The sequence below is a fragment of the Homo sapiens genome, chromosome 1 (assembly GCF_000001405.40).
Source record: "Homo sapiens chromosome 1, GRCh38.p14 Primary Assembly".
Lineage (NCBI taxonomy): Eukaryota > Metazoa > Chordata > Mammalia > Primates > Hominidae > Homo > Homo sapiens.
The window spans coordinates 107,653,159-107,672,193 of NC_000001.11; the positions used below are offsets into that span (position 1 = coordinate 107,653,159).

The following is a 19,035-nucleotide window of genomic DNA, read 5'->3' on the forward strand; positions in this document are numbered from 1 at the left end:
GCATGTGCAATTGGTATTTCTGACTGGCAAAGTTTCAGAGAATGCAAATGACTCTGCACCATCATTTCGATGTGCTGATTTTTTTTTTTAAAGAGGCTATGGAGCCCTTAGCTCAGAGAACAACTATCAACATATCTACAGAAAAATGCACATAAATTGAACAATCTCTCTACCCTTCTTACAAACATTCTTCCATAACAAACTTCTGAAATAGAACAAGGGAAATGCAGAAGAGTAGTCTTTTATTTATAAAATGGTGCTACAATTAAAATACTTACTTGGAAGAATTTCTAACCTGCTCAGTCATTGTAAACTTCTATGAGTCCACTTTCAAACTCTGAGGATCCGCAATCACCACAATATCTAACAGGTAACTCTAAGGTTTAGTCCCTCCCTTATTTTTATTTGAAGTTTTCCTCCTTAACCTTTTTCTGAAGTGAAAAAAGGAATTCAAGTCAGATAGAACCATTTAGTTACAATCCTATGGATTCAGACATGAGCAGAGTGAATATATACATTTATCAGTTTAAAATCAAGCAAATGTATAACTATTATTCAAAGCCACCAATGTTTCATAGGAGGAGGCTAACTATGTGTCTTCATTTTTTGAAAATAGATAAAATTTTTCCTTTAAATTCCCTTTCCCTGGGGCCAAGTGTCAACCACCAACATATTTACCTATGAATATACATTAACTGAAAAAATTGCTCCCTTCCCAGGAACATTCCTTCTTAACAGTGTCTATAATAAAGAGAGGGGAAAACATCTGAAACCATGCTGAGTTGTGTATTCTTTTGAAGTAGTACTGTTCTGACCACGAAAACACTACATGCTAGCACAGTGCCTGTGTCAAAGAAGGTTCTTATTTAGCCAAATATTTTCATTTACATATGAAGCAACTTAAGTCCAGTTGCATATTCTAGCTAAAAGCAAAAGTGGTGTTCTTTCCAAAAAGCACTTTGTTACCCACTAACGGTGGAATCTTTGATTGACCAAGAAAAATAAGTTTAGATTAGATTACAGAAAGGTCACAAGTACTTATTTCAGATTTCAATACTTAATGAATGCATCACTACTCTTTTCCAAGAAAGCTGGAAAAGAAATCAGACTCAAAATTTTCTAGTGAGAATGATAGCTTTTATAGACAACAGTAAATCCTTTAGATTATTGTAGGAATTTCAGAGATTTAGTCTCAAAATCTCTACAACCCTGGGATTATAATATTGGAAATATATATTGTCTCCTTCCTATAAATTAATTGGGAATACTAAAAATTTAAGGCATTATCCTATAAGCTTTTGTCATCTACAATTTTTCAATGTAAAATATTTGAAATGTAGGTGAATATTAACTTTAGGAATAGTACTGGTATTGCTTTGTCCTTTGATACTTCAATATTTTTCCCCCAACCATCAATCTGAAAACTACTAACTCTCTCCCTGACCTTCCTTCCTTTTTCCCTCACTTTATCCTTAGTCTAATTATCTCCCCAAATTTTTAGTTTCCCATCTTTTTTCTACATAAAGAGTTTCTTTAATCAACTTTAAATACCAAAATTATATTATGGTTTTCACTTATTCAAATGTAGCATAACAAGCTACTCAAACAAGTCAGCCTTTCCCTTATCCCCACAAAGCTTAGAGTCTAACAGGGAAAAGGAAAATGTTAGATATACACTGGCTTCTAATCATATGAAAATAATAATGAAATAGTACCTACATTCTAAAAGTATAATAAAAATATACAACAATAAAAATGTAAACTGTAGGCTATAAAGAAAAATAAGAATGTTAAAATAATAACAAATTGTGCCAAGAAGTTATAAATCATCTGGTAGGCAGTCCACTGGTAAAATTAAGAGTTATACATAGAAATGACACACTGAAATAAAACTTTTATTTCTGCCTCATTTCTCAACTAAAACACCAGTGACACTTAGCACAAAGTTCACATGCACAACTGTTCAATCACAGTTTATAAAAGCACCTGAACATAACACAAAGCCAAAGCAATCCTGGACAAATGGAATAAAGCTGGAGATATCACACTACCTGACTTCAAAATATAATACAAATCTATAGTAGCCAAATCAGCATGGCACTGGCATAAAAACAGACACATAGACCAATGGAACAGATAGAAACTCAGATATAAATCCATGCATTTACAGCCAAGTCATTTTTGATAAAGGCGCCAAGAACATACAATGAGGAAAGGGCAATCTCTTCAGTAAATGGTGCTGGGAAAACTGGATACCCATATGCAGAACTAAAAATCTAGACCCCTATATCTCAGCACATACAAAAATCAAAGCAAACTATATTAAAGACTTAAATCTAAGGCCTCAAACTATGAAACTACTAGAAGAAAACCTCACAGAAATGCTCCAGGACACTGGTTTGGGAAAAGGTTTTTTGTGTAAGACCTCAAAAGCAAAGGCAACAAAAGCAAAAATAGAACACGATTACATTAAACTAAAAAGCTTCTGAAGAGCAAAGGAAACAATCAACAATGTAGAGAATGGGAGAAAATATTTGTGAACATTCATCTGACAGGGAATTAATAACTAGAATACAGAAGGTGCTCAAACAACTAAGAAGAAACAAATAATCTAATTTAAAAATGAGCTAAAGATCTGAGTAGACATTTCTCAAAAAAGACATATTAGTCGTCAACAGGTATATGAAAAATTCTCAATATCAATAACCATCAGGGAAATGAAAATCAAAACCACAGTGAGATATCATCTTACCCCATTTAGAATGGCTTTTATCAAAAAGACAGAGGATAACAAACACCAGTGAGGGTGTGGAGAAAGGGGAACCCTCATATACTATTGGTGGTAATGCTAATTAGTACAGCCCCTATGGAAAATAGTATAGAGCCTCATCAAAAAACTAAAAAATACAACTACAGAATGATCCACCAATTCCACTACTGGGTATATAGCCAAAAGAAAGGAAATCAATATATTCAATTGATACCTGCACTCCCTTGCTTATTGTAACACTATTCATAATAACCGAAATATGGAAATCAACCTAAGTGTCCATCAATGGATGGGTGGATAAGAAAATGTGGCATATATACACAATGAAACATCATTCAGCCATACATGCAGCCATAAAAAGGAATGAAATCCTGTCATTTGCAGCAATATGAGTGGAACTGGAGGTTATTATGTTAAGTAAAATAAGCCAAGCATAGAAAGACAAATATTGCATGTTCTCCCTCCTATGTGAGAGCTAAGAATGTGGAATTCATGAAGATAGAGTATATTCATGGTTACCAGAGGCTGGGAAGTGGGGTAGTAGGTAGCAGATGAAGAGATTAATGGGTACAAATATATACTTAGCAGAAAGAAGATCTGATGTTCAATAGATCAGTAGGGTGACTACAGTTAACATTAATCCATTGCATATTTCAAAATAGCCAGGAAAGCACAATTCAAATGTTCCAAGCATAAAGAAAAGATAAATACATAAGGTGGTAGATATCCCAATGAACCCTGATGTGACTATATCAGTGTATCAAATTATTGCAGGTACTCCAAAAGTATGCACATCTATTATATATCAATAAAAATAAAAATATAAAAAAGGAAATTATCCTAGCTCTCTGTGCTGCCTGCAATGTCCTTTCCTCTCTGACCACCTATGACAGTCTTTCCCAAGAGTAGAAAAAGAGTAAACATTACTCCTGCATATAAGCCTAACTTCTGACCTCAGCATATACAACAACACACAACACATTTACACATTTCCCATTTTCAGTCAAGACAATCCTTTTTTTTTTTTTTTTTTTTTTTTTTCCGAGACGATGTCTCGCTCTGTCACACAGGCTGGAGTGCAGTGGCACAATCTCAGCTCACTGCAGCCTCTGTCTCCCGGGTTCAAAGCAATTGTCCTGTCTCAGCCTCCGAAGTAGCTGGGATTACGGGCATGCACCACTACACCTGGCTGATTTTTGTGTTTTTAGCAGAGATGGAGTTTCACCATGTTCGCCAGGTTGATATCAAACTCCTGACCTCAAGTGATCCGCCCGTCTCGGCCTCCCAAAGTGCTGGCATTACAGGCATGAGCCACCACGCCCGGCCTCTGTATCTTGAATAATTAAAGTAAGACTTCAGCTTATGAAACAAAACAATTTAACAGCAGTTAGGTCAATGTAGTATAAAGGGGACTTTATAAGAAAATTCCACATGTATTAAATCATGGCCTACAAATAAGAATCAGTTTTTATTTTTTAAGAATTTCAAATGTTATGGCCTATGTTCTCTTAATTTTCCCTTTCTGGCTATCTCAGGAAATAATGAGCACTATAGAAAAGGACGGCTAAGAAAGAATTGTTATACACAGGAACTTAATCCTTTTTGACGTTTTGTCCCGAGAGTTGCCTCTGGGTATATATTGTCTTAGACACCACAGTGGTTCATATCACTTTGGACGTATTACTTCTGATCTAGCATGACACTACCACAGAGGTCAACTGAAGTTCCACACAGCTACCATAGGGAGAGCAAAACACAGGATTCCATGCAAAGATTGTAGCAAAATATTCTCTGGGATTCACAGAACACATATTATGATTAAAGTTCTATTAATTATAAACATAAAACAGAACTGGATATTAAAACAGCATTTTCATACTTGTTATTCAGTTGCATTTTCAGGTGCTTCACTGGTGTTGTTAAAAATGTTATGTTCAACAACTTAATCATTAGTACAGTCATGGAAGAGAAATTGCTAACTAATTGCTATTAGTACAGCCATACGAGAGGAAATACGACTAGAAAATCTGCAATGTAGGTTTTAGTTTTTATTTTGGCATAGAATTTATATGAGGATGTAAACATTTCAATAAATGCCATTTTGCCTCAATTTACCTACTGGGCACAATACTTCAATATCTCTTTCTAATGAAAGAAAACCGTACTTCCTTTCAAATTAATGGCCTCAATAAAGTACGTTCAACGTGAAACACACAATAATACAATATATAGCTAAAGAATAACAGGCCTATGAGTGAGAACATGCGGTGTTTGGTTTTTTGTTCTTGCGATAATTTGCTGAGAATGATGGTCTCCAGCTTCATCCATGTCCCTACAAAGGACATGAACTCATCATTCCTTATGGCTGCATAGTATTCCACGGTGTATATGTGCCACATTTTCTTGATCCAGTCTATCATTGTTGGACATTTGGGTGGGTTTCAAGTCTTTGCTATTGTGAATAGTGCTGCAATAAACATACGTGTGCATGTGTCTTTATAGCAGCATGATTTATAATCCTTTGGGTATATACCCAGTAATGGGATGGCTGGGTCAAATGGTATTTCTAGTTCTAGATCCCTGAGGAATCGCCACACTGACTTCCACAATGGTTGAACTAGTTAACAGTCCCACCAACAGTGTAAAAGTCTTCCTATTTCTCCACATCCTCTCCAGCACCTGTTGTTTCCTGACTTTTTAATGACTGCCATTCTAACTGGTGTGAGATGGTATCTTATTGTGGTTTTGATTTGTATTTCTCTGATGGCCAGTGATGATGAGCATTTTTTCATGTGTTTTTTGGCTGCATAAATGTCTTCTTTTGAGAAGTGTCTGTTGATATCCTTCACCCACTTTTTGATGGGGTTGTTTGTTTTTATCTTGTAAATTTGTTTGAGTTCATTGTAGATTCTGGATATCACACCTTTGTCAGATGAGTAGGTTGCAAAAATTTTCTCCCATTCTGTAGGTTGTCTGTTCACTCTGATGGTGGTTTCTTTTGCTGTGCAGAAGCTCTTTAGTTTAATTAGATCCCATTTGTCAATTTTGGCTTTTGTTGCCATTGCTTTTGGTGTTTTAGACATGAAGTCCTTGCCCATGCCTATGTCCTGAATGGTAACGCCTAGGTTTTCTTCTAGGGTTTTTATGGTTTTAGGTCTAACATGTAAGTCTTTAATCCATCTTGAATTAATTTTTGTATAAGGTGTAAGGAAGGGATCCAGTTTCAGCTTTCTACATATGGCTAGCCAGTTTTCCCAGCACCATTTATTAAATAGGGAATCCTTTATATTTTTAAGACCTGGAGGCTAAGCATTTTTATGTTAAGATATTTTTGAAAATACCATCTTTCAGAAAAAAAAAAGTATAAAAGGCCTGACTTGTTACTTCAAAACTATACATAGGAAATGCGAATGGAGATTAGATAAATTCATCAAAGAAATTCACCTTACTAAATATATTAATGGCCACAGATGGTCCTGTTAAAAATAACTACTTACATTTCTACGAATCCTATAGACTTCAGCTCTTCACAATGTCCAAAAAAAGAACCACCTGGGATTCCAAAGTTTCTTCTTTAAAGTATGCAGAAGCACTGACAAAGTGATTGTTCTTTTTATGAGGAAGTGCTTTTATTTTTATTTAACTATATATGTAGATAAACATAAAAATATTTTGTATTTTTACATAACCTTCTTGGAATCTACAGAAATGTATCCCGATTTAGTCATATTTTTTAGGAAATGCCTACTGAGCTTCTACTATACATCAGCTATTATGTATAGTATTAAGGATATGCTGGTATTAAGGATATGCTGTTACCCGCACTTGGTTTTTGTTGAAGGCTTCTTTTTATACATGAGTTAAAACCTGCAAATAGTGTTCTGTAAAATCTATTGATTGGGTAATAAAATCTCCAATGAGAAACAAAAGGGAGAGTGGTGAGGGCTAAACTAGACCTTTTCCATCCCTCATCCGCACAATGTTAATGAATAAATCACCAGAATACTACCAAATTCTTAATGGCAAACATTTATACTTCCCTTTCCCCCACCTCAAGACACAGGAAAGCTTCAGAAATGCCATGATGTATCAGGGAAATCTCTCCTACAACTGAAATGAAAATTCCTTGGCATCTAAAAAGTATTCCCACGGATCATCTAATTCACCTTCAATTTACTCACTTCTTTCCCCACTCCATGTTTTTTTCTTTCCCAGTTTATTCTCACTTGTTCCAGTTTCAGGTCATAGCATGTTGAACCCTGCAATGCTCAGAAAGGGAGATTCCTTTCTTTGCAGACCTTTCCCACAGAGTCATTACTTTTCGAGTACCAGTGGCAACAGTGAGCACTGCTTTCAAGGTGCCAAACTTAAAGACTTCTTTTCTGCTACACAGTTATATAATTGTTATTTTCATCTTAATTATCCAAGTGAGTGGGAAGGCATTTTGAGATTTGGCTCCCTTGGCTTTGAAACAAGGTAACTAGAAAAGAAACTAACTCATGTGGCAGCTCCTATAGACATCCATCTATTTCTTCACAGAAAGAAAGACGGAAATACGCACCAGGCCAAGGCAGACCACTGGCCTTATAGCCTCCCTGTCTGACAGACTGAAGCTTTCACTTTACACCCATTTTCCCTTTTATGGAACACATCATTCACTGTGGCTGCAAAGTGAAGGAGATCCTAGGAGATAATTTGTTGGTATTTCAGCTTTCAGCTTCTGTTTGTTCATCTTTTCCTAAGGCATTCATTCATCACTATGCATATTAATTTTTTTAAAAACACACCCAATGCTTATTTTCTGCTTGGAATGTGAACAACATAATAAACAAGGCAGTTTTTCCCTTATCCTCAAAAACTTAGAGTCTAACAGGGAAAAGGAAAATTATACAGGCAAATATTACAAAGCATTATGTGTTTTACATTAGAAAAATTGCAAACGCTACGGAAGCACAAACCAAAAGGACATAATCTCATCAAGTGTTCAGGGAAGGCACAATGTTCAAACATATGGTTGAGGGAAAAAATCAAGTTACAAGCAGCAGTGTATACAAGATGACCTCATTTTTGTTTTTAAATATATCTATATACACACACACATAAAGAAGTACAGAAAAAAAATCCATAAAGACATAGGCCACAATATTAACAATGTTTCATCTGATGTGTAAAATTATGAGAACTTTTTTCCTTATATGGATTTTCTAAACTTTATGTAGTTAACTTTATAATATTATTTAACAAAAGTTTCTGCCCCAGGGTAGACACTTTCCCATGCCAGGATCTGCTAGCTGGAGCTCAGTCCCCACCAGCCTCCTTCACGGGGCAGCTCTGTGACATGTACACACAAGAGGTGCCACTCTTGCACGACCCATTATGCACCCAAAGTGCTTGCTACCATCCTCCGCGAAGTAAACCACTCACTTCCACAGTGCAAGGCTATGCTTTCGGATCATTCTAATCCCTCAAGGGCACCGCCTCTGCAATGTCTTCGCAACCCTCCCAGGCAGATACACTGAACATTCCTTTGTTCAACTGTGTTTCTGAATTTTTATTATAGTTATTTAACATAACTTGTATATTAATTTTGTTTTGCTTTCTCCCCACTTGAATATAAGCTTTACAAGGCCAGGGACCATGAAATTGTTCAATTGTTTATCCAAAGTATAGTGTTTGGTGTCCAATAATCTCTCAATAAAAGTTTGTTAAATAAATGAAAGCATATGTGCATGTTTATCATTAAAGAATATATTTTAAAATAATTTTAACAAAATTTTTCTGCATTTCTTGACTAATTTTGCTTGTACAAATATGACAATATGGGGCCATTCTGCGTGTATATGTGTTGTCAAATTCTCTATTTCAAATAAGGAATGGCTTTAGACTGTAAGTCCTTAGAACAACATCATTACAACTGTGGTTCTGTTGTATATCTAACATGTTACAGGACTTGGTGATACCGAATTTCCCTACCTACCACGGAAAATTAAGTTGGTATTACAGATTAGTTGAGGAAGGTATTTTCCTCTCCTAAATGAACAATTATTACTTAGATTTTCAAGTCACTATGTGCCTATAAGCAAAAGAATTAAGCTGCTCTGTAAGCAAACAGAATTTTAATTCATAATGTGAATAATTGTTTACATGGCATAGACCTAAAATTTGAAAACTAGAGCACTGTATTTAAAGAGGCTGTGTTATTTTTAAAAAATGAATTGCTATGATTTTTTCAGCATTAAATCCATTTTGCAAAATGAGACTGTCAACAAACTTATATCCCCACACGACATGAATACAAATGTACCTAGTCCCCTTCCTCCGAGTGATTAAAATTGCATTTTAAAATATGACAAATTGTTTTTATAAAAAAACTATAAAGTTAAAACATTAGGGAAGCTCAAAAAACATGCACAAAAGAATACTGTCTCAATTTTTACTCTGCTCAGTTTGGATTTTTTCCTGAAAGGATTTCTATAAGGGAAAAAAAAATATCTGCCTCAAGTGGAGACAATAATGTCACAGGGATATAAGTTATCTCTCTCACACACACACACAGTGCATTTCCAGAGCACAAATGCTGCTGTTTTTCAATGATCAATGTTTTTAGAGGCCCAATAGTTATCTTTTCTATTTCATTAAAAGCACTAAGAGTTGAATGGATTTTATTCAAGGCCACTGGTCTTAAAGCTTCTTATAGCCCAAATGCAACCAGATTGACAGGTTATGTGCTGACGTTTTAGCAAGAACATTTACTAACCAAATGAAAGCTCTGCGAGGTACCATACTTCCCAGAAAAACGCTAACGAAAGCACACTTTCTGTGGGCCTAATGGGTAGAAAAAGACATATTAGTCATATGAATAAGGGGCAAAGCAATGAAGCTAAAAGTTGGTAACCTTATCCAACTCCAGCAGTTGAAAGCACTTTCACAATGGGGCAGGTGTCAATCAGAAAGCAGAAATTCCCCAACACTGAAACCCTCACTATCCACAGCAATGACCTGCACATCGACTTCTCGGGCTGCTCCAGGCTGGTCTTGTCCTCCTGAAGCTTCCCTGGGTTTTCAATTACAGTTCTTTACAAGTCTAAGCATATTTTAAATATGTTGAAGAATTTATGTTTTAAGAATATATGCGGTAAATCCACATTCTTGTATAAACCAAAAAACGTATTTAAGACTGGAATATTGTGTTACTCTAGTTCATCTGGTTAGTCAGGATTAATTGGAAACATCTGAGGGTGATAATTACCTAATGCAAAGTGTATTCAGTAACTTAAAAATATACTTTCCCTTTGCAGATATTCAAATGGAATTCTAAGATACAGACTTCTACACTGTTTTACAGGCTTGTGTAAATCTGGGTCATTAAAATAACTTTATAATGAAAGAAAGATGAGAAATGTCTGTCCTAAACCAAGTATTTCTGGTCCAAATATTACTCTTAAAAAAATAAATATGCATAGTATTCTATTGGAAAGGCTTTGAAAATATCTCTGGGTCTTCTGTAACCCCCATAAACTTTCTCTAGATTTTTGAATCCTTGGTAACTTTGGATCGAAAATGAATATAATGAAAAAAAAATGGTTTGATAAGCTCTTTCACCAAACATATTATAGCTAGAAGAATGTAATAAGCAGACTTACATGCCACATGATTCAAGATAATTGCCTATAAAGTGGTCAGAGCTTCAAAGAAAAAAATGCCAATTTGCAAAATGAAGCATTTGGTAGTATTTTACCTCCGCTGAAAAATCTGATTGCCTTGACTTTCGGTACCAGCAAATTCCCCTTTATAATTTCAGCAAATAGTGTCATAGTAATACTCTACTGCAGCTACTTATGGATCTTAAATGAAACTCCTATTGTTCTAATTTGGCTCTAAGTGGTTGATATTAGAGACAAATGATTTTCACTTGAAGATTCTTGCAAAATTTATCAAAATATCACTTTATAAGACATGTCTGTGTTCTATGATGCTGTGGGTTTGAAATCTTTTATTAATTGTTCTTATGATATGAAAAAAATTAACAAAGATAGTATGGGCTCACCAATACTCAAATGTAATGCTTTTCATTATTTTTGTACATTAGTCTCAAAAATAAGCAATTAGTAAAATAGGACTGCTGGCTCATTAACAAACCATTTTCTTTTTTTCTTCTCTTTCTTAATGGTTTAATAAGCATACATTAGCTATTACATAATGTTTTCTAAATTTTTCACCTTGTTTTGTACAATCACTCTTTGCCCTCCCCTCCTATTTTATTTTTCTTCAACTTTTAAGTTCCAGAGTAAACGTGCAAGATGTGCAGGTTTGTTACATAAGTAAACATCTGCCATGGTGGTTTGCTGCACAGATCAAACCATCACCTGGGTATTAAGCTCAGCTTCCATTACCTATTATTCCTGATGCTCTCCCTCCCCAACCCCCCACAAAAGGCCCCAGTGTGTGTTGTTCCTCGCCACTGCCATGTGTCCACATGTTCTCATCGTTCAGTTCCTACTTATAAGTGAGAACTACAGTGCTTGAACAAACCATTTTCTTAATTTTCAAAGTATAAGAAGCAGCAGCATAGGTCGGCTTTTCAAAAAGGTTAAAGAATTTTCACACCACAAACCAGTGTTCCCTTTTATAAAGTTGCGCTTCCAATTCAGTTCAATATATATTTCCTGATCACCTGCTATGTTCCAGATACCATGGGTATAAATATGAAAAGATGAAGCTCCAGTTATTAAGGAGCTTATGAAAGATTGCAGAAAGTAGATGTGCACCCAGACCATTAAAAAAAATACTATAGCAATGTTGTCATGGGAGAGGGACCCACAATGCACACCAGATATGGAGTATTATAAAGTAGGATTCTTGGAAGAGGGAATACTGGAATTAAGTTTAGATGGATGAATGATAGATAAATAGGAATTAACCAGATATAGAAGTAGAGTAAATAGAGAAGTCAAGTCATTTTGTTCAGAAACAAGAGCATGACCCAAGGTATAGTGGCAAGAAAGAATTCAGTACATGTGGAAAATTACCAGATCTCTGCTATTGCAGGAGTAGTAGAAATAAGTTAGGTATGAATCAGCTCCTGGGGGCCTTTTATAGTTAATATACTGTAGACTGGTTCTGAGTATGCGCTGAAGAGTTTAAGTAGGAGAGGCCATGCTGTCTCTCCTTTAGGTAAATCATTCTTCTGATAGTCTGGAGGAGTCAATAAAAGAAGTCAGGATTGGAGGCAAGACGAACAATTGGGAGACTATTACAACAGCTGACAAATTGAATAATAATTTACTAAATACCAGTGGTGTAGAAGAAGGGTTAGATTGTGGGAAAATATGGGGGTTGAGAGTGGTTCATGTCAGGCTGGACAACAAGGGGTGCATTGTCTGGGGATAATTTAAAAACAATAATAAAACTGTCTTTTAATCAAAGCTGGTTTGGTTTTTCTTATCACATGGGCCAGCAATTCTCAGCAATGTCAGTGATAAAATATCCTTCCCCACTAGTAGGTAGACTACTCCCATTGTATCCACCCTCCTTGGTACAGCACTGCTAAACACTTTTGTGTGAAGGGTTCTGCACTAAATCTCCCTAGGAAATGTAAAGATAAAGACCAGGTGTTTGTCCTCAAAGGAGCTATCAGTCTAGCAAGGGAGATAAGGCAGATACCTCAATAATTATAGCTCACAAATACACTTTCATATGATCGGTCATATGACAAGGTCAAGGGTGGGAGCTAACTAGTTTTACATACCTGACTGCACACAGCCATCCCTGCTGAGGGCAGAGCCAGTGTCTTGCAGGCCAATACTAGAAACACTCTGTCCCAGCCTGATCCAGAGGGAGGAGGGATCTCTCCATGTCAGTATTGCTGCATACCTACTAGGTCGTCTCCTGGTTGCAAAATCACACAGCCAAAATGCATGGCAGCTCTTGCCATCTCTGCTTTATACACACACTAGTGATGCATAAAGAAACAAACGGTGAAGGATATTATCTGTAAATGCAACTGTTGAAGGAAGGTAGAATTGTGAGGAAAAAGGAAACTATTCCAGAATCAAAACAGGGAGGGGGAAGAGTATTTTCAGAAAATGCTCCCAAGGTCACTATGTTCATAAGTAACACCACGTGGCCTGAAGAATAGAGGTTTTTATGCCAGTATTTTCACCACACACATTATCTTCCTTTAGCCCTTCACCTTACCCTTCCTCTTCACTGTAGAAAGAATATTAGGATACTAAGATGTGAACAGGTATTTGAAATCATGAAATCCAACCCACCAATTGTCAAGAGTAAAATAATGTCCAGAAAAGTTAAATGAGCTACCAAAGTCACAGAACTGGCTACTGGCACTCATGAATAACGAACAATGTTCTTACTCTTAAGGGAAAAAAATATAAGAGTTAATGTCTTATTTCTCAAAAATATAGTTCTTGGAGAATGCCAGAGTGACCTGAAGCAAGGTGATATCTGCAATTTGGAAATTGGTGTGTGGGCTTTCAGGACTGTGATGGCCATTAACTATGGCAGGTAGGTGAAATCTGTGATGTCTGGACCAGGAGCCACTATTTCCAGAAGCAGCACAGAAGATCACCGTGGCTTCTGATCCCTCACTCCCTTTCATACTTCTATGGCAAGATCATTTGAGACTTTTTTTTTTTTTTTTGAGACGGAGTCTCACTCTGCCACCAGGCTGGAATGCAGTGGCACGATCTCAGCTCACTGCAACCTCTGCCTCCTGGGTTCAAGCAATTCACCTGCCTCAGCGTCCTGAGTGGCTGGGACTACAGGTGCACACCACCACACCCAGCTAATTTGTATATATATAAATTATGTGCCAGTCCCTGTTCTATGACCTTAGTATATATTAACTCGTTTAAGCCTCATGACAACCCTATGAAGTGGGTCTTATTATTTCCATTTTAAAGAAGTTAAGGTACAGAGGGTTTAAGTGACTTGAGCAAGGTCACAGAGCTGGTAAATAGTGAAGACTGCATTCAAACCTAGGCAGCCTAGCTCTGGAGTTTCTGTATCATTGATTTTCAAAAAGGCATCATAAGCCAAACATGTAAGAGCCAGCAGCTTGTACTGCTGCCTCTGCTCTAATGGATCTGGACACTTAAAATCAAAACAAGACAACAGCATGGCTATGGCCTCGAGAGTCTGGTATCCAGAAGCTGCCTCTATAGGTTTTAGCTCACCTTCTATACCTCTGCTCCAGGAATGTATAGATGGTGGCAAAAATCAGGTGATGCTAATATCTACCATTTATTAGTATGGACAAAGAGCCAGACACTGTGCTAATGTTCCACAATATAGTCTCTCAGTTAATCAATACACAGAAATTCTGGAAGGTGGATGCTAATAACACCCCCAGTAACAAAGGATGGACTAGGGTACACTGCTAAGTAGTGAGAAAAAGCACTGAGCTGTGCAATGCTAACTACAAAACTAATTTTTTAACCACTTATATTGTCTGGCCACCCACACATGCATGTAAGAGCATGCCTGTAATGGGGTAGCAATGCAGGAAATATAATCCAACAATGTCTCCATATGTGCCTAGGAAATGAGATGCAATTTTTACACAAAATAATGTAAATGAATTTATGATAAGGTTTATTGCTATCATTAGTGATGGTTTCGCTGATGATGGTTTATGTTAGGATTATTATACACACACACACACAAACAAATCACAACACAGAAAAACAATCATCCTCTATAAATTATTTAAAATAGCAACATCCTGCTTAAAACCCTGTTTTCTACACAAATCTTAATGAAGACATTAAGGGAAAAGACAGTATAAAAAACAAACAGAAGCAGCATTTATTACATTAGTTTGGGGTCATTTCCTGATATTTTGCTATGATTTTATTTTCTAATCACGTTAAAATCAAAGGCACACTAATGAAAGATCTAAAACTCTATGTGGAATGAGCTTCCTTCCTTGCTTGGAATCGTAGCATCCCAAGGTTGGCAGAGACTTGAGGGGCCATCTGCAGTGTCTGCTTGCCCTTTGCCCAACTGGGCCCTTCCGAGAAGCTCTTTCCCAGGCTCTCCAATCACCTCAGCTGGTCCTCTCTCATCCAGGACCCAGACAGTCATATGATAGCAACCCTGCCTTAAGCCTTCACATCAAGGTCATATTTCTCCTTTCATTTGATATTGACAATTAAGAGTGCTTATCCTTCTTCAATCTGACCAAGATTATTTCTCTTTAGCCTACTTCATCTCACTTCCTCCCTCCATTGAGCATCTGGCATGATCCATAATTGTAGCCAGCCTGGCTAAAAAATAAATCTTCTGATAAAGTGCACTGATTTAATGAATGCATTCCTACAAGACTGCTAAATTAGTTAAAAACATACAATGCTTCTTCTAGTTATGGAAACACATATATGGAAGTTTTATAAGGATTTGGTTTAAAGCTCAGTTTCAGCGTTTATTACTTACATGAATTTGGACACCTGTCACAACTCTCAGTGTAGCTTCCTCATCTGTAAAATGGGCATAATACCTCTCACAGCTTTGTTGTGAAATTAAAAATAAAGCATGTAAAACCTCTAGTACATCAACAAATATCACTCTAACATTCATTCCATGGCTACTTCACCAACATGCTGATTGACATATAAATCATACAAAGATGAATTTGCAGTCATGGAGTACAATGAAATGTGTAGAATAAGAGATTAGCAAACCATCAACTTTTTCCTCATTGTAGTGAGAGAAAGAAACTACAGGCGTGGTCCCAGGAACTATGTTTGGACAGTCTAGAGAGGAGGAAACTAACAATTCTAAAGAAATTTACCATTAAATGAATGTAGGTGTTTCAGTATGAATTTCTAATGTCTAACATTAACTTTAGCTTATATTTTTAGGAGAAACATACAGTTTTGATTGTCACATGTTAAATGGAATTTCACTTTATTTTAGCTTCTAGCTGGCAGTATCTTATTACAGAGGCATGCTGTAACAGTTAGTTCACAAGCTACTTATCTCAACGTGTTTATTTGAATTCTCTTCAACTCTTTCGCGATACGGGTGTGGGGTTCAGGATTTCTAAGGGAGTCAGCGCTGACTATACAGAGAAAAATCCCCAAGGGAGAAAGTCAGGAGCTGCTAAGAAGGTCAAAAAGAACACAGGGGAAAAAAAGAAAAATGAGTTATGCCGGTGTTCTTTAAAATTGAAGACAGAAAAATTCTTGGCTGCACTTTCATTCTATTTCACCTTACAAAAACCTCCTGCTATTCCACTCTGCTCAAAGTCTTCTTTCCAAAGTACTTTGAATTAAAACATGAAGTAATCCTTACTAAGTGTCCATAGGATCTCTTCTTTATCCTTCGCTGTGTAAGTGGGGACAAAAAGAGCTACCCAGTATTGTTGCTGGACACCAGCCTTGTCTGTCTCCTGTTATTTTCAGAAACCTCAAGGCTGCATTTTCACCCATGTCCTCAGAATTTCTTGTTCTTCTTTTGGCTTTTTACAATGCTTCTAGTAGCAGGGGCCATGGAAATAAAGAAATGAAGGAGACAGGGCACATCTAATAAAGACAAGAAAGAAATAAACACATTTTCAAGAATGCCTGAAAATTTCACCATGGATCCATTCCTATCTTTGATACTCGGTAGCTGATGGTTGTAAATAAAGGTAGACTAGAGCCTCCTTTTCTTGCACAACAGGTTTTTTTGTTTTTCCTATTTATGATTGTTTAAATTGGTGTTTCTGTTTTCCAGCATGAGGTTTACATTAGTTTTTTCTTTTTTTTTAGATTGTCATCCCTTTCATCTATTCGTGAGGTGCTGTATTACTCATGAATTTTAAATTGGAAGGCAGAAGAAAAGAGGTAAAGAAATAATTGCAAAGAAAAAGCTGTGTATTTTCCAGTGAATGGTAATAAAAAACTCCTTAGAGGAGAGAGTAACTACATGGCTGACACTAAAATATAATCAATACTACACACTGATCACCCAAATAATGTTACAGTTGAGAATCTGAGATACATGGCAAAATAAAGATGATTTCACAACTTTGCACTTTTCAAAATTATATGACATGATTTTGTATGCCATGGCTAGGTTCAGTTTTCTATCTTGATTAATACATTATATCATTTGTGCCAGTGTATGTGGGTAGGGTGAGTATTTTCATCTCCATTTTACAGATTAGAAAACTGAGGCTTATTAAATTGTCCAAAGATTTGCACAGCAGCTTGGACTGAAAGTCATGTTTTCAAACTTGATGCCCATACTGCTTCCTACCAGTAAGAGTAAGAATTTCCATCACTGCTGGCTCTTTGCCAGCTATTTCGTGCCAAGCAAGCACTGAGCTTGAAGTGCTTTGCCTGTGTTATGACCACACAGAGAGGAGGTAACAAAGCCAAGAATCTGGATCCAGATCTCTCTGATCCATGGGCCCAAACTCTTAACCAACACACTCTACTTCTATACCCTATGCCTGGGCATTCTCAGAGCATGTTAAATTTACATAACATTATCACAAATTAAATAACAGCCAAATTAAAACCTTTGCAAATGAAGATTAAACATATTTTTTTTTTTGCCTTTCAGAAATGTTATTGAAAAAAACTGGCAAGAGACATGAAGTATGTTTGTTCTTGTGCTTCGATGGTGATTAATGAACTCCTTTTGGGAGAGGCAAGATCTGTACTTGGCATTAATATTATAAACTTTTCTCATCCCAGTAGCTTCTCTTTAGGTGGGGAAAGCAGTTACATAAGGCAGCGATTAATGAGATGCCACAAATGTTGACTTAGTCCCAAATAGGGATTTTTTTTCCTCCCTCAAATCTGAGTGCTTCACCCAAATTAATTTTAAGTCACACTACAAATATGAGTAAAGTGCCGACTCGAGTTGAAAATACATCATATGCTCAACCTGAGTCCATATGCTTTTCCCCCAATTTCTTCCTGTTTTGCTAGAAAAAAAAATCCTTGAACAGTTTGAGGTTCCAAGAAGGTGTTGCCATTTCGTTTTCTCAAAATCATTGGCCAGATTCTGTTCTTGGATACTGCTTGAATTTAAATGGAAGATGCATAAAATATTTAAATCTGGGATCCCCAAAGCATGGCATTACAGTTTTTTGAAATGGCAAAGTTTCTTCCTCTGGGAGTGAAAAGCTATAATGTTAGGCCTATAATGGTAGGTGGAGGTAGAGAAATATATGTACACTTTCATGTTTTGTTTATCTAATCATGTTCACGTCCTCTAGACAAACTGAAAGAGTAATTCTTACTCCCAAGAAGGAAAGCTCTGTCCTGAACTGAAGACATCACACGATTTTGTTGGGGCATTTGATATAAGAGGTAGCTATGATCACAACGGTTAATATCTGGACATCCAGAAGCACGTTCTGTGAACAGATCATAAGGGGCAACATGCCAGGCAGGAATCCAAAGTCATTATTCTACCTGCTTACAACCGACTTCTCCAAGAAAGTCTATTTATTAAACACCTAATATTTTCATGATGACATATAAGACTTGCCAAATTAGAACTTGAAAGTGTAGAATCTCCACACTGTTTTTGAAATGAGAACATATCTACTGCATACTTCAAATAAAGTAGAAGTTGAAATTTTCATACTTAGATGAAGAATTACTAAAACTAAAGCTCTTTTAAAATAATAGGTCTAGTCTCACTCCCAGGAGCAGCAGAGTAAATTAAGATGAGGAGGATTTGTAAAATAAAGGGAGACACATATGTACAAAAGGAAATAAGAACAACGGGAGGAGCTACTCTGAACTCAAAAGGCAGAGCCATAGAATATTTTTCTTCCTACTTCTGAAAATCCTTGGGGAAGTTAGGCTTAGTTTGTCATATTTTACCAAAAAAAACAAAACAAAACTGACTATTTCAATATTAAGTATTTATATTTGTTTAAAACGTAATTTCCTATATATACAGAACATGTATTGTGACATGCTTTGCACAAGATAACTTACAATTTTAGCAAGCTATGTGTATAATAAAGCACAAAACAAAAAGTACACAATATAATTGTGGTTGTTATGCAATAACAAAAAAGATAAATTTAGACTGGGTGCAGTGGCTCACACCTGTAATCCCAGCACGCCGCAAGGCCAAGGCGGGAGGATTACATGAGGCCAAGAGTTTGAGACCAGCCTGGTCAACATGGTGAAACACTGCCTCTACTAAAAATACAAAAACTTAGCTAGGCATGGTGGCACACACCTGCAATCTCAGCTACTTGGGTGGCTGAGGTACAAGAATCGGTTGAACCT

General features: G+C 36.4%; 1 protein-coding gene across 14 annotated transcripts in view; it reads right to left on the reverse strand.

The window, feature by feature from the left end:
• VAV3 (vav guanine nucleotide exchange factor 3) overlaps nt 1–19,035 on the reverse strand; it is a 394,020-nt gene that overhangs the window by 81,998 nt on the left and 292,987 nt on the right. For 2 of the 14 annotated variants that reach the window (XM_005270361.2, XM_047430555.1), the window contains one exon: nt 15,681–16,314. The exons of the other annotated variants lie outside the window; for them this stretch is intronic. In XM_005270361.2, the coding sequence (XP_005270418.1) occupies nt 16,226–16,314 (89 nt within the window). In that variant the 3' untranslated portion in view covers nt 15,681–16,225. Of the gene's footprint in view, nt 1–15,680; nt 16,315–19,035 lie in introns of those variants that run through there. 14 annotated transcript variants of the gene reach the window in all.